The sequence below is a fragment of the Homo sapiens genome, chromosome 1 (assembly GCF_000001405.40).
Source record: "Homo sapiens chromosome 1, GRCh38.p14 Primary Assembly".
In the NCBI taxonomy this organism is placed as follows: domain Eukaryota; kingdom Metazoa; phylum Chordata; class Mammalia; order Primates; family Hominidae; genus Homo; species Homo sapiens.
In genome coordinates this window covers 229673224-229688728 of record NC_000001.11, presented here as the reverse complement: position 1 = coordinate 229688728, position 15505 = coordinate 229673224, and positions in this window count along the sequence as shown.

Sequence of the window (15505 nt, the reverse complement as noted above, 5' to 3'; positions counted from 1 at the left end):
TTTTAGTAGAGACAGGGTTTCACCATGTTGGCCAGGCTGGTCTTGAACTCCTGACCTCAGGTGATCCGCCCTCCTTGACCTCTGAAAGTGCTGGGATTACAGGAATGAGCCACCATGCCTGGTCAGAAAGGTATATTTTTAAAAACCTGTTAATTAGAGGCCAGAGCTGGAGACATTATTGGTGTTTGAGAAACATTAGTACAAAGCTTGCCCTTGTTGTGTGGAAGAAGCCATTTTGTACTGCTTTAAAGCTAGACTATATCACTTCGGCAGTGATGTGTGGGGGACCTCATTACCTAGTTTTTCATCATTTACCCTAGATAAGAACTTTAAGAGATGCTCACTGACTCGCTGAGATGACTCTGGCCCTCTTGACGACTGGCACTGTGCTCCAGCCTTGTCACTTAGGGAACCCAAGATCTGTTTGGGACCTGGGTACAGGTAAAAGCCAGACTTGGCAGGGACCCTCTTTCTAGGCTGAACCTTGAGTCCCCCCGCTTTTTGGTAGACTTAATGGATCACTGTCCTGCAGCCAGTTCTTCATGTGGGGCCTCTTAAGTCAGTGCCAGGGGAGGCATGCTCCTCTTTCTATGCCACAGAACAAACACTAGTCTTGCAAAGCTTTCCTTGCACTTTAAAATGAGATTAATTTAACTCCAATTTGGTTAAAAACTTACTAAGAGAGAAAATTCAGTCTACTGATTTGGTATAGGTAAATGGACGTTAAACATTTTTTTTTTTTTAGACGGAGTCTCGCTCTGTCACCAGACTGGAGTGCAGTGGTGTGATCTCGGCTCACTACAACCTCTGCCTCCCGGGATCAAGTGATTCTCCTGCCTCAGCCTCCTGAGTAGCTGGGATTACAGGCAGTGCTACCACACCCAGATAATTTTTGTGTGTTTTTAGTAGAGACAGGGTTTCACCATGTTGGCCAGGATCGTCTTGATCTCTTGACGAGGCCACCCACCTCGGCCTCCCAAAGTACTGGGATTACAGGCATGAGCCACCACACCCAGCCTAAACTTTTCTAAAGTAAAGAAGATGGTAGGTACAGTTAGATTATAGTCTTGAGGTTCATGTGAAGCCAGTGTTACCGTATTTTGATTTCCTTGTTCAGAGCCTGAAACATCTACAAGGGGAGGTAAAAGAATTCAAACTTTTCTGTATGAAAGCATTTTTCACCAAAATGAGCCACCTCCCTTTATGCAACACATAACCTCACTGAGGAAAGGAAATAGGGAAACTGCCTTCTTATTTCTCCTCACTGTGGACAAGTTCAGTCATTGTCTTGAACACCGTCTCAAATACCCGTTTTTGGTTTTGGATAGTATCTTGTCTGCATAAGAAGCTGACCTTTCCATAGAGAGGCCCTGGAGTCTAAAATTATCAGAACAATTAATTTATTTGTGTCTTCTATTATGACATCTTGTTTGACAATAAAAATCCTTACTACTTCCAAAAATAAAAAAAAATGTAGAAGGGCTGGGCGTGGTGGCTCACACTTGTAATCCCAATACTTTGGAAGGCTGAGGCAGGCAGATCATTTGAGGTCAGAAGCTCGAGACCAGCCTGGCCAACATGGCAAAACCCCATCTCTACTAAAAATACAAAAATTAGCAGGGCATGATGTCACGTGCCTGTGGTCCCAACTACTCAGGAGGCTGAAACAGAATCACTAGAACCTGGGAGGCAGAGGCTGCAGTGAGCTGAGATCGCGCCACTGCACTCCAGCCTGGGCAATAGGGCGAGACCCTGTCTCAAAAACAAACAAACAAACACCCACACACACACACACACACACCTGTAGAAGGTTTTGAGGTGATTCTAGATGTCTTTGCCCCACCCCTCTCCTATGTCACAGCTATCTGAAAGCAGTAGTGATTGATGCTGATGAGGCAATGGCCCAAGTTCCCAGTGCAAGACCATTTCCCCAATTCTGGAGGGATCAGAGCAGACTTTATTTGCAAGTTATTGTATATGTCACATTTGTCTGAGCCACATTTCTATTCTAACCTGTATAGGGGCTAACACAGAAAAATTGATGCAAGTTGATTTTCTCTCTGCTTTGCCTAACTCAGGACTGAGGCCAAAAAAAGCTAAAAAATATTGCAAACCAAAATAACAACCCTAAGATGCCTGGGAGAAAAGATTACAGGTCAACATATAACAGACTACCTAAGGCAAAATCTGTGTAGAGTTTCTCTGGGAAATTAGGACACTCAAAAGTAAATGGGGAATTTTGACAGACATGTCCATGCCCAGAACAAGATGCATGCTCAGAAAAGACCTGAGAAAACCTAAGCTTTCACCTTAGACTGATCCCTAGACACAGTGCAAGCCTAGCATGGAGTTGAAGGAAATCCCAAGCACAGAGTCAATTTGCAAAGAGTAGGACAGCTCCTAGCATTCAAGGAATTCTCCGTCAAAACACTAGCTGAACTCAAGCTAAGGAACAGAGACTTTAGTTACCATGTCAACAAAAAATATAGTATTTGAAATATAGCTTGGGAATGTCACTAAACAAACAGGCTACTATAGACTTCAATAACAGAAAGAAAAAAAAAAGAAAAGGAGCCAGAAAATCCTGGTGAAGGGGAGAATCTGATTTTCAGAGTTACCACATTGTAGTAATCAAATGTCTAGTTTTCAGTGAAAAATCACAAGGCATACAAAAAAATACAAAAATATGACTAATTCAAAGGACCAAGGTTAATTGACAGAAACCATCCTGGAGGAAGGACAGAAATTGGAGTTACTAGACAAAGGTTTTAAAAAAACGGTTTAAAGTATGATCAAATCATTAAAGAAAGACACAAAAAAAATAAAGGAAATCAGTATAACAATGGATGAACAAAATGAGAAGTCAGGTACAGGGGTACATGCCTGTAATCTCAGCTATTTGGGAGGCTGAGGTGGGAAGATCACTTGAGCCCAGAAGTTGAGGCTGCACTGAGCTATGATTGTACCACTACACTCCACCCTGGGTGACAGAGTGAGACCCCAACTCTATAAAACAGAGAGAGAACGAGAGAGAGAAAGAGATTATCAATAAAGAAATAAAAAATATCTAAAAAGAACAAGACAAATTTTGGAACTGAAAATAAATAAAATAATTGAAATGAAAAAATTAACTATAGGGTCCAACAGTAGATTTGAGCAGGCAGAAAAATGAATCAGCCAACTTAAAGATAGAATCATTGAAGTCATCAAGTGTGAGAAAAAGAAAAAAAAAAGAACGCAAAAAGTGTAGAGTCTAAGGGACCTGTGGAACACTGTCAAGTAGACAAACATACACATTATGAGAGTTCCAGAAGGAAAAGGGAAAAAGGAGCAAAAGAATATTTGAAGAAATAATGGTAAAAAACTTCCTGACTTTCATAGAAGATATAAATATACAAATCCAAGAAACTCAATGAACACTGTTAGGACAAACACCAAAATACCCACACCTAGACACATTATAAGCACACTGTCAAAAGCCAAAGACAAAAAGAGGATCTTAAAAGCAACAAAAGAGGCCAGGTGAGGTTCACACCTGTAATCTCAGCACTTTGGGAGGCCGAGGCAGGCAGATCACAAGGTCAAGGGATCAGGACTATTCTGGCCAATATGGTGAAACCCCATCTCTACTAAATACAAAAATTAGCCAGGTGTGGTGGTGCATGCCTGTAGTCCCAGCTACTTGGGAGGCTGCGGCAGGAGAATCACTTGAACCTGGGAGGCAGAGGTTGCAGTGAGCCAAGATCATGCCACTGCACTCCAGCCTGGTGACAGAGTGAGACTCTAACTCAAAAAAAAAAAAAAAAAAAAAAAAAGGCAACAAAAGAGAAGTGACTAGTCACATACAAGGGATCCTCAATAAGATTAACAGCCAATTTCTCATGAGAAACCATGACCAACAGAAGAAAGTAGGAGGACATATTTAAACTGCTGAAAGCAAAAATATGGCCAGGCACAGTGGCTCATGCCTGTAACCACAACACTTTAGAAGGCCAAGATGGGCGGATCACATGAGGCTAGGAGTTCAACACCAGCCTGATCAACATGGTGAAAACCTATCTCTACTAAAAATACAAATTAGCCAGGCATGTTGGTGCATGCCTATAATCCCAGAGGCTGAGGCATGAGAATTGCTTCAACCTGGGAGGCAAAAGTTGCAGTGAGCCAAGATCATGCCACTGCACTCCAGCCTAGGCAACAGGGCGAGACCCCGTCTCAAAAAAAAAAAAAAAAAAGAAAAAAAGAAAAAAAAAGAAAAGAAAAAAATCACCTGAAGTCTTACATATGATCCATGAAAATAAACAAATAAATAAAAATAGTCAATGAAGAACTCTATACTGTCCTTCAAAACTATGGAGAAATCAACATGTTTCCCGACAAACAAAAGCTGAGGGTGTTTGCTACCAGTAGACCTGTCCTGCAAGAAATGTGTTAAAAGATTAAAATTATACAAGATATATTTTCCAGCCACAATGGAATGAAACTAGAAATCAATAATAGAAAGAAAACTGGAAAATTCACAAATATGTGAAAATTAAACAACATACTTTTTTTTTTTGAGATGGAGTCTTGCTCTGTTGCCCAGGCTGAGAGTGCAGTGGCGCGATCCCGGCTCACTGCAACTTCCACCTCCCAGGTTCACGCCATTCTCCTGCCTCAGCCTCCTGAGTAGCTGGGACTACAGGCAGCCACCACCATGCCTGGCTAATTTTTTGTATTTTTAGTAGAGACGGGGTTTCACTGTGTTAACCAGGATGTTCTTGATCTCCTGACCTCATGATCCAACCGCCTTGGGCTCCCAAAGTGCTGGGATTACAGGCGTGAGCCACCACACCCGGCCTAAACAACATACTCTTAAACAATCAATGAATAAAACATGAACTCACAAGGAAATTAGAAATACCTTGAGACATGACAATAAACCACAACACACTAAAACTGATTCAATGCATCAAAAACACTACTAAGAGGAAATTTTATACCTGAAAATGCTTACATTAAAAAAGAAGAAAGATCTAAAATCAATAATCTAAACCTACATCTTAAGGAATAAGAAAAAGAAAAGCAAAACAAAATGACAGCTAGCTGAAGGGAGGAAACAATAAAGATGAGAGTGTAGATAAATGAAATAGAGAATAGAAAAACAATAGAATCAATAAACCCAAAAGTTGCTTATTTTAAAATACTCACAAAATTGACAAACCATAACCTAGACTAACAAAAAAAAAAAAAGATGGGAGAAGACACAAAGAAATAAAAATCAGAGATGAAAGTGGTTGTTACTATTGGTTTTGCTGAAATACTTAATAAAAAGGATTATAAAAAATAGTATGAACAATTGTACACAAAAAAATTGGATAACTAAGGTAAAATAAACAAATTCCTAGAAACATGCAAATTACCTGTACTGACCGAAAATGAAATCGAAATTCTGAACAAACCTATAACAAGTATAAAGATAGAATTAGTAACTCAAATTTTTTAAAAAGTCTAGAATTAAATGGCTTCACTGGTGAATTCTACCAATCATTTAAAGAAGAATTAACACTAAGTCTTCTAAAAACTTTTAAAAATAGATAAGGAGTTAATATTTCCTAACTCATTCTACGAGGCCAGCATTACCCTGATAAAAACATCACAAGATATAAAACTACAGACTAATAACCTTTTGAATATGATGCAAAATTCTCATCAAAATGCTAGCAAACTAAATTCAGCATCATATTAAAAGGACTATACATTGCCGGGCGTGGTGGCTCAGGCCTGTAATCCCAGCACTTTGGGAGTCTGAGGCGGGCGGATCACAAGGTCAAGAGATCAAGACCATCCTGGCCAACATGGTGAAACCCTGTCTATACTAAAAATACAAAAAAATTAGCTGGGTGTGGTGGCACACATCTGTAGTCCCAGCTACTCAGGAGGCTGAGGCAGGAGGATTACTTGAACCCAGGTGGTGGAGGTTGCAGTGAGCCAAGATCACACCACTGCACTCCAGCCTGGCAACAGAGCAAGACTCTGTCTCAAAAACAAAACAAAACAAAACAAAAAACGAAAAAAACAAAAAAACAAACAAAAAAGGACTATACAACACCACCAACTGGAATTTATTCCTAGAATGCAAGGTTGGTTCCATATATGAAAATTAATCAATATAACACACTGCATTCCAAGAATGAATGGGGGAAACTTCATGATTATCTCAACTGATATAGAAAAAAGGTTGAAAATTTTAACACTTGTTCATGATAAAAACAGTCAATAAACTAGGGTAAAAGGAAACTCCTTCAACAAAACAAAAGCCACATATGAAAAACCTACAGCTAACATCATACTCAATGGTCAAAAACTGAAAAGTTTTTCTCTCAGATCAGGAACAAGACAAGGACATCCACTTTCACTACTTCTGTTCAACACAGTAGTAGAAATTTTAGCCAGAGAAACTAGGGAAAGAAAGAATGAAAAAAGAAAAAGAGAGAGAAAAAGAAAGGGAAGAAAGGGAAGAAAGGAAAGAAAGGAAGAAAGAAAGGAAGAAAGAAAGAAAGAAAGAAAGAGAGAAAGAGAAAGAAAGGGGAAAGGAAAGAAAGAAAGAGAAAGAAAGAGAGAGAGAGGGAGGGAGGGAGGGAGGGAGGGTAAAGAAGGAAAGAAAAAAAGAAAGAAAGAGAAAGAGAAGAGAAGAAAGAAGGAGAGAGGAAGGAAGGATGGAAGAGTGGGAGGGAGGGAGGGAGGGAGGGAGGGAGGGAAGAAAAAGTCATTAAATGGAAAGGAAGAGTATCATTATCCCTATTTGCAGATGACATGATCTCATATGTAGATACTCAAAAGAAAAACTGTTAGACCTAATAAATGAATTCAGGAAAGTTGCAGGATACAAAATCAGCACTCAAAAATCAATTGTATTTCTATACATTTACATTTAACAAACCAAAAAGGAAATTAAGAAAACAATTTCATTTGCAATATAATAAAAAATAATAAAATACGTGGGAATAAGTTTAACCAAGGAGGTAAAGACTTGTACGCTGAAAACTGCAAAATATTGCTGAAGGCATCTTTTTAAAAATAATAAATACAGTGACATCCATACTCATGGATTGGAAGACATTGTATTGTTTAGATTACAGTAACACTCAAAGCTATCTACAGATTCAATGAAACCCCTATAAAGTCCTAACTGTTTTTTTTTCAGAAATAGAAAAACCATATAGAATTTCAAAGTACCCTAAACAGCCAATCTTGAGAAAGAAAAACAGAGCTAAAGATCTCATACTTCTTGATTTCAATATATATTACAAAGCTATAGTAATCAAAACAGTATCGTACCGGCAAAAAGACAGTATACACACTACAATAGAATAGAGAGCCCAGAAATAAGCCCTCATGTTTGTGGTCAAATGGTCTTTGACAAGGGCGTCAAACATACACAATAGGGAAAGGATAGTCTCTTCAACAAATGATGTTGGGAAAACCACACATCCACATGCAAAAGAATAAATTGTACCCATCTCACAGCATATTAAAAAATTAACTCAAAATGGATCAAAGACCTAAATTTAGACCTAAAACTATAAAACTCTTTGAAGAAAACAGGGCACCAGCCCATGACATTGGATTTGGCAATGACTTCTCGGACCTGATACCAAAAGCACAGGTAATAAAAAAAAAAAAATAGGTAAATTGAGCTTCATCAAAATTAAGAACTTTTGTGCATCAAAATACACCATCAAAAGATAATTTATACCATCAAAAGAGAAGTAATATATCTTATATTACTTATACTAATAAATTACTAATTATATATTATTAGTAATATATTTTGATGCACTTACCTTTTGTGCATCAAAACATACCATCAACACATAGAATGGGAGAAAGTATTTACAAATCATTTATCTAATAAGAGGTTAATGTCCAGGATATACAAAGAACTCTGATAACTCAATAACAATAACATAAACAAACAAATTTAAAAATGGGCAAAGGACTTGAATAGACATGTCTCCAAAAAAGATAGACAAATGGCCAACAAGAACATGAAAAGAGGCTCAGTGTCACTAATCATTAAGGAAATGCAAATCAAACAAAACCACAATGAGATACCACCTCACTCCCATTAGGCTGGCTATAATCCCAAAAGCGGAACAATAACAAGTGTTGGTAAGGGTGTGGAGAACTTGGAACCTGGGTGTGTGGCTAGTGTGAAGGTAAAATGGTGCAGTCACTGTGGAAAACATCTGCTTCCTTCTCCTTGGCAGGTTGGATTTCACTGCTCTTCCCATCTATATGGCAGAAAACATGGCCAGTGATTTCCATGTTACTGGTCTAGACTCCACTCTCTCTCTCTGCCTTAATTCCAAATTCCTAGGAAGGAACATTTTAAGGCAGGTATCAACCCTTAAATTCCTCAATTGTGGCCTAAAGTAAAGGACAACAATTGATGTATATTAGCTGCCTTCTGGTCCAATCAGCTGTGACCAGGAGACAGGGTCACATGGCACAGGTAGCCACAAAGAGCCCACCATGGCTATCTGAGGACTTGAGAGGAGAAATAACAGAAAAGTCAAGAGGTTGTTTATTATAGGGGGGTGTGAAACATCAGAATATAATCAGTAGCACAACATACTAAAGGTACCATTTTACCTTCCCACTAGCCACACACCCAGGTTCCAAGTTCTCCACATCCTTACCAACACTTGTTATTGTTCCACTTTTGGGATTATAGCCCTGGAACCTACATGGTAGGAGCAGAAAGAAACAGGCATCATAGAGTTCTAGCAAGGTAGAAATGGGAAACCCAGGACCTGGGACTGGTCAGATGGAGCCAGAAGGATGCACAGTTGAAATTCACACGGCTAATAATTTATAGATTGAGCTCTGACACCACCTCTATCCAATTCCAAAGCCCGTGCTCTTTCTTCTACTCATCATTGCCACTCTTTGGGCAGAAAAATATTTTGCTAGTCTGAGCAAGTATGAAAAGAGAAAAGGTCATAAAAGTCTTCATTTGTTTGCTGATAGAATACCTTGTTTTTATAAGGTTTCTGAGAGGCATACAAACACATAATTTTCAAAAATTACTTATTTATCATGTGGTAGGCATATATTAAATTTTTTACCTACATTATTGTATTTAATCATCAATAACTTTATAATAACTAATATTATTATTTCCATTTTCTGGATGAAAAAACTAGAATTTAGAAAGGCTGTCTGGGCGTGGTGGCTCACACCTGTAATCCCAGTACTTTGGGAGTCTGAGGCAGGCAGATCACTTAAGGCCAGGAGTTCAAGACCAGCCTTGCCAATATGGTGAAACCCCGTCTCTAATAAAAAATATAAAAATGAGCTGGGTGTGGTGGCACACACCTGTAATCCCAGCTACTCTGGAGGCTGAGGCAGGAGAATCATTTGAACCCAGAAGGCAGAGGTTGCAGTGAGCCAAGATCACGCCACTGTACTCCAGCCTGGGCAACAAAGCGAGACTTTGTCAAACAAAGAAAGAGCTAAAGAGAGAGAGAGAAAAGAAAGAAGAAAGGAGGGAGGGAGTGAGGGAGGAAGGAAAAAAGGAAGGGAGGGAGGGAGAAAGGAAGGAAGGAAGGAAGGAAGGAAGGAAGGAAGGAAGGAAGGAAGGAAGGCAGGCAGGCAGGCAGGCAGGCAGGCAGGCAGGCAGGCAAGCTTTTAGTAATTTTCACAAAGTGATATATGTAGTAAATGACAAAGCTAGAGTAGTTAGGTCTGAGCCCACAGCCTTAAGCTCTGAAGTGTTAGGCTACATAGTTGAGAAGTCAAGATGAAGAAAAAACATGGTTAAGAAATTACAGTCTGGGTCAGGCGTGGTGGCTCACACCTGTAATCCCAGCACTTTGGAAGGCGAGGCAGGTGGATCACCTGAGGTCAGGAGTTCGAAACCAGCCTGGCCAACATGGAGAAACCCCATTTTAGTCTCTACTAAAAATACAAACATTAGCCAGGCGTGGTGGCACATGCCTATAATCCCAGCTACTTGGGAGGCTGAGACAGGAGAATCGCTTGAACCCAGGAGGCAGAGGTTGCGGTGAGCTGAGATCGCACCACTGCACTCCAGCCTGGGCGACAGAGCAAGACTCCATCCCTGCCCCCCAACCCCGCCCCCAAAAAAAGAAATTACAGTCTGATTATCCTCTAGAATCATACCTCATAATGTCTTGATTGGAAGCCAAGAATATAACAAAAAAATTAAAGATTCCTAGTGGCCAATGCAAAAAAAGGAAGAAAATGATTTGTAAAAGTTGTGATATCGTTAAGATTAATAGAAGTTTAGGATGGCCCCAATTTTTTTGATAACTCTCAGTACCCCATGAGTCTTTATAAAGAGAATAGTATGTGGTGTCATAGATAATGTCCTTGACAGCATCTTTACAAAAAAATACCATGACGAGTTTTATACTCATGCATTTGCAATTCACCCACTTAATCACAGTCAGTATAAAGTCAAATAATGTGAGTTTAGGAAGTTCCATATGAGGCCAAACCAACGTCGTCTCATTCACAGCTCTCTGGAGAACTGGTTTGAACCAAGGTTGTATGTATGTGTGTGTATGTGTGTCTGTGTGTGTGTGTGTGTGTCTGTGTAAGAAAAAAATGGATTGTATTTTCTTCAGGGAACTTACCATACATATTTTAATAAGAATTATACAGAAAGCCATGGTTGTGATTTCTGAGATAAAACCTGGAGTGCAGGTAGTCTATGTTGCTGATTAAAAACAGAGCCCCAGGCCGGGTGCAGTGGCTTACGCCTGTAATCCCAGCACTTTGGGAGGTTGGGGCAGGTGGATTGCTTGAGCTCAGGAGTTCGAGACCAGCCTGGGCAACATGGTGAAACCTCGTCTCTATGAAAAATACTAAAATGAGCAGGGCATGGTGGTGCCTACCTGTAGTTCCAGCTACTTGGGAGACTGCAGTAGGAGGATGGGTTGAGCCTGGGAGTGCAGAGGTTGCACACTGTACTCCAGCCTGGATGACAGAGCCAGACCTAGCCTCAAAAAAAACAAAAACAAAAACAAAGCCCCAGAGAGAGATAGAGGTTAAACTTAAGGAACTAATAAAGATTTACTTGGATGGGGTCATCCTACCTAAATGTTATAATTTGGTTTTGATCAACACGAATCAATATTATCTCATAAATATTATTTTTAAATGTCAATAAGCAAAATTCTAACCTATTCTAACCAATTTTAAGAGAAATATGTAAAATGAGAATCCATATGCCAATGCTATTTTGTGTTCCTTCTGTTGTTTTCAAAATATAAAGAGGAGTGACTCTTACTGTTTACTTGTAAATAGAAATTTTAATCTCATAAATAATGACCAGGACTTGCAATCATATTACAAATAAAAGCAAATGAGACAGCTCCCTTTAAACTATAGCTTTGATTATGCAATACAGCATTGTGGTTTGAAAGATGTTCTTCTCTTTTCTTATAATGGAAATAAAATGCCTTATAAATGAAGATTTTTATTAGGTATTGAAAAAAAGCAGTAAGAATAAAAAGAATTTGGAATAAAGTGGGATTGGTGAGAAAGAAGTATTAGTAGAACATACATCAAAATATATGAAGTTGTCAAATAAAATATTACTTGAAATGTCAGCCAGGTAATATTCATCATGCAGCTTGAAATATAGAACAAAATATTCAGATGTTTCTATTTAAGTCAGAAATAACTAATATGCCTACCACCATAAAGTTAAAAAGTCACAATTTGGCTCATCAAAAGATATTCCTGGGTTTCAACATAAAAGCAAAACTATTAAATTCATTTGAGAATCATCTACAATCATTTTGGTTCATGAAATGGTTTGCATAATATAGACTGAAATTACTGGTAGCTAAGATCCAAGGACTCCGCAAAAGTGAAATATATTGAGTGCAAATCTTAATGAGAAAGGAAATGATAATTAGGGACAATGGGCTGACGTCTTAATAGGACTAATTACAGAAACCAGAAAAAGTTCACTGAAGAAAAATGTGAACCTGTACCAACTTTTTAAGCAACATTTTTACTGCTGTTGTATATGGTAAAGAAATTATATATTTATGTTTAAATTATGATGCTGATTTGGCCAGGCGTGATGGCTCGCGCCTGTAATCCCAGCACTTTGGGAGGCCGAGATGGGTGGATCATGAGGTCAGGAGTTCAAGACCAGCCAGGCCAAGATATTTCGTGAAACCCCGTCTCTACTAAAAATAAAATTAGCCAGGTGCAGTGGCAGGTGCCTGTAATCCCAGCTACTTGGGAAGCTGAGACAGGAGAATCACTTGAACCTGGAAGGCAGAGGTTGCAGTGAACCAAGATCATACCACTGCACTCCAGCCTGGGCGACAGAGTGAGACTCCATCAAAAAAAAAAAAAAAAATTATGATGCCGATTTTAGGCAAATTCCTTAAATTCACTTTTAACTAGCATTAAAATAATTTGGTCAAAATACTTTCCTTATAGCCTCATTCACATGATACCTTTGTAATTATAGCTGGATGGCACATTAATCTTCATGGCATCACTAGAATATAAGCTCCATGAGGGCAGACCTGTCTATTTGCTTCACTACTATACCCCTGGCACCTATAACAGTATGGTGCATAATTGCTGCTCTAGAAGTATTTGTTAAATAAATGAGTGAATTTTCTGTAAGATATGTCATTTAGACACAGAAGTAAAATGTCCCCAAAACTGGGAAATAAGGTTAACCCCTGGGAATAAAACTCAGCTAGCAGGGCATACGAAAAGATGATAGCTATCTATAAAAATAATGTAAAAGATTATCTATGTATATGAAAATGAGGAAACTTAGGGCTCCTGAGTATAATCAGATATGGGGTATAGTATCAGTGAGTCATGATACAAACATGATTGCCACCAAGAAAATAAAAGCCTAATTTTTCACATGTTGTTAGAAACTATATCTAATGGAATAGAGTCCTGGGGAATAGGGAATAAGAAATTAAAATTTTTTATTCCCCTGGCTCCTTTACTAGTAAAAAGATAAGCTCCATGAAGGCAGATATATTTTTTTTCCTGTTTGGATGGATGGATGGATGGATGGATGGGTGGGTGAGTGAGTGGGTGTGTGGGTGGATGGATGGATGGATGGATGGATGGATGGTTGGGTGGGTGGATGGAGAGAAGTGTGAAGGGAAAGAGGGATGGAGGGATGAGTGGATGAACAGAGATTTATTTGATCATTTATTCATGTATCAAAGAACTTGCCCATGCTAATCCAGCATGATTCAGGAGAAAATTATGAAATCTGGCAGAGGGCTGTGGCCACCAGAATGATATACTCTATTTTAAAAGAGAGATAGGTCATTCCACTTTACTGTGCCTTGGTTCCATTAACAAACAGTTATTGAGCACTTGCTATTGAATAGTTCTCAAATGAGATATCAAGACTCATGGGAGGTCATTAGGATACAGAACCAGTTGGTTGTGATTAAAAACATAATACTAACAGTGGCCTAAACAGGTAGAATTGTATTTCTCTCCTGTGTGCATGTCTAGAATAATATGGTGGCTCTGCTCCATGAAGTTACTCCACAAAAAGCCAATGTGCTCTTCGGGTTAAGTTAAGCTATGTTGCCTGAAAAACAATGCTGAAATCTCAGTGGCTTAACAACGAAACACTTTTTGGTTCTTCTCCTGCTCATGCCAATGGCTGCTGTGGATCTGACTGCTCCTCTGGGAAGCTCATTCAATAGTGGTGCAAGGATCCACAATGATTCTGCCTTTTTTTTTTTTTTTTTTTTTTTTTTTTTTGAGACGGAGTCTCGCTCTGTCGCCCAGGCTGGAGTGCAGTGGCGTGATCTGGGCTCACGGCAAGCTCCGCCTCCCGGGTTCACGCTATTCTCCTGCCTCAGCCTCCCGAGTAGCTGGGACTACAGGCGCCCGCCACCATGCCCAGCTAATTTTTTTGTATGTTTAGTAGAGACAGGGTTTCACCGTGTTAGCCAGGATGGTCTCGATCTCCTGACCTCGTGATCCGCCCGCCTCGGCCTCCCAAAGTGCTGGGATTCCAGGCGTGAGCCACGGCACCCGGCCTGATTCTGCCTTTTTCTCAAGCACAAGGCTTGGAGGCACAGCCCAACCCCTAGTAAATTCAGCCAGGAAAGCGACAAGAAGCCCCTTTTTGATTGTGACAGTTTACTACGTACATAGGCCGTGAAAGGAAACACAAAGGTGCCCATTCCAGAAGTCCTTGTCCCACACACTAAAAGGATGACTCTGAAACAAGAGGCCCAGTGAATACAACATGAGTTGTAGGACACCCCATTGCAGAGGAGCTAATTCCCACCTCTAACCATGTGATTTTATAGTCTGCAGCTTTATTCTGAGAGAGATGGTGCACAAAGCCCCACACCTCCTCAGAACCAGGAGGCAATGGGAAACGGTGTAACAGCTGAGCAGGGGGAGAGGGAGGCTGTGGGCGGGGGCTCAGAGCAGCTCACGCAAGCCTGCCAACTTCCTGTGTTCTGAGAGGGCCGTGAGGCATTCTGGCAAGACTCAGATTCACTGCAGGGCAAGCCAGTGCCTAGGTGGTCAATATAGATGGTGCGAGATCATCAGGGTGCCATGTGGAGCTGTTACCTACATCTGCATCTCCATCATCCCCACCTGTCTCAGAGGAGAGGATCAGGCTGGAGAGTTGTGTGTGCTCCAGCCCAGAAGCGATCATATGTCACAGTTGAACATAGTTCTGCCTGACTCCTGGAGGGGAGTCAGGGAACTCGAAGGTGTTTAGCAAACTATAATCAATGTCTCTGCCTCAGCAGGCATGGCACTCAAGGCATGGGACCCAGGCTCCTTCTCCCTGGTCATCGACCGTCCCCCAAGCATTTGCCTCGTCTGTATGATCCAAGGTGGCTGAACTCCAGAAAGCAGGAAGGACAATGTATTTCCCTTACTTTTGAAGGAATGACCCCAAAGGTGTGTGCATTACTTCACCTCACATCCCACTGGCCACATGACCATGTAGCTGCAAGGTAGACTAGGATATCTAGTCTTTATGTTTGGTAGCCATGTGCCTGGCTTAAACTTCAATATACTGGAAGAAGAGGAGGACAGATCCAGGGACAGTGTGTAGAATTGGTCACAGGTATGTTGGGATCATTTGTAAGGTGTTTTCCAGGTAATCTGGCACCAATAAAAGTTAAAATATTGAAGCTTGTGAATGGTTTTTTGCCATTTGCGATTTATATATCTTTCATTGTGTTTCATGTTGACATGGTTTTGAAGGAAGAAGAGAGCTGCAGGTAGCACATTTGAGAAAATGAACCTAATCTTGGTGGAAAGGCCAACATGAAATACCCTTTAGAATAATGCAGCTCCTTTCACATAATGTCATCCTCTGCAAGCAACCCTCCAGATGACGAATCCAGCTTCCCGAGGATTCTGAAACCAGGTAGAGCTCGTGCCTTAGTTAAGAGCTTAAATAGCGCAGTCACTGTTGATGAATCTTGTCCATGGTGAAAACTCT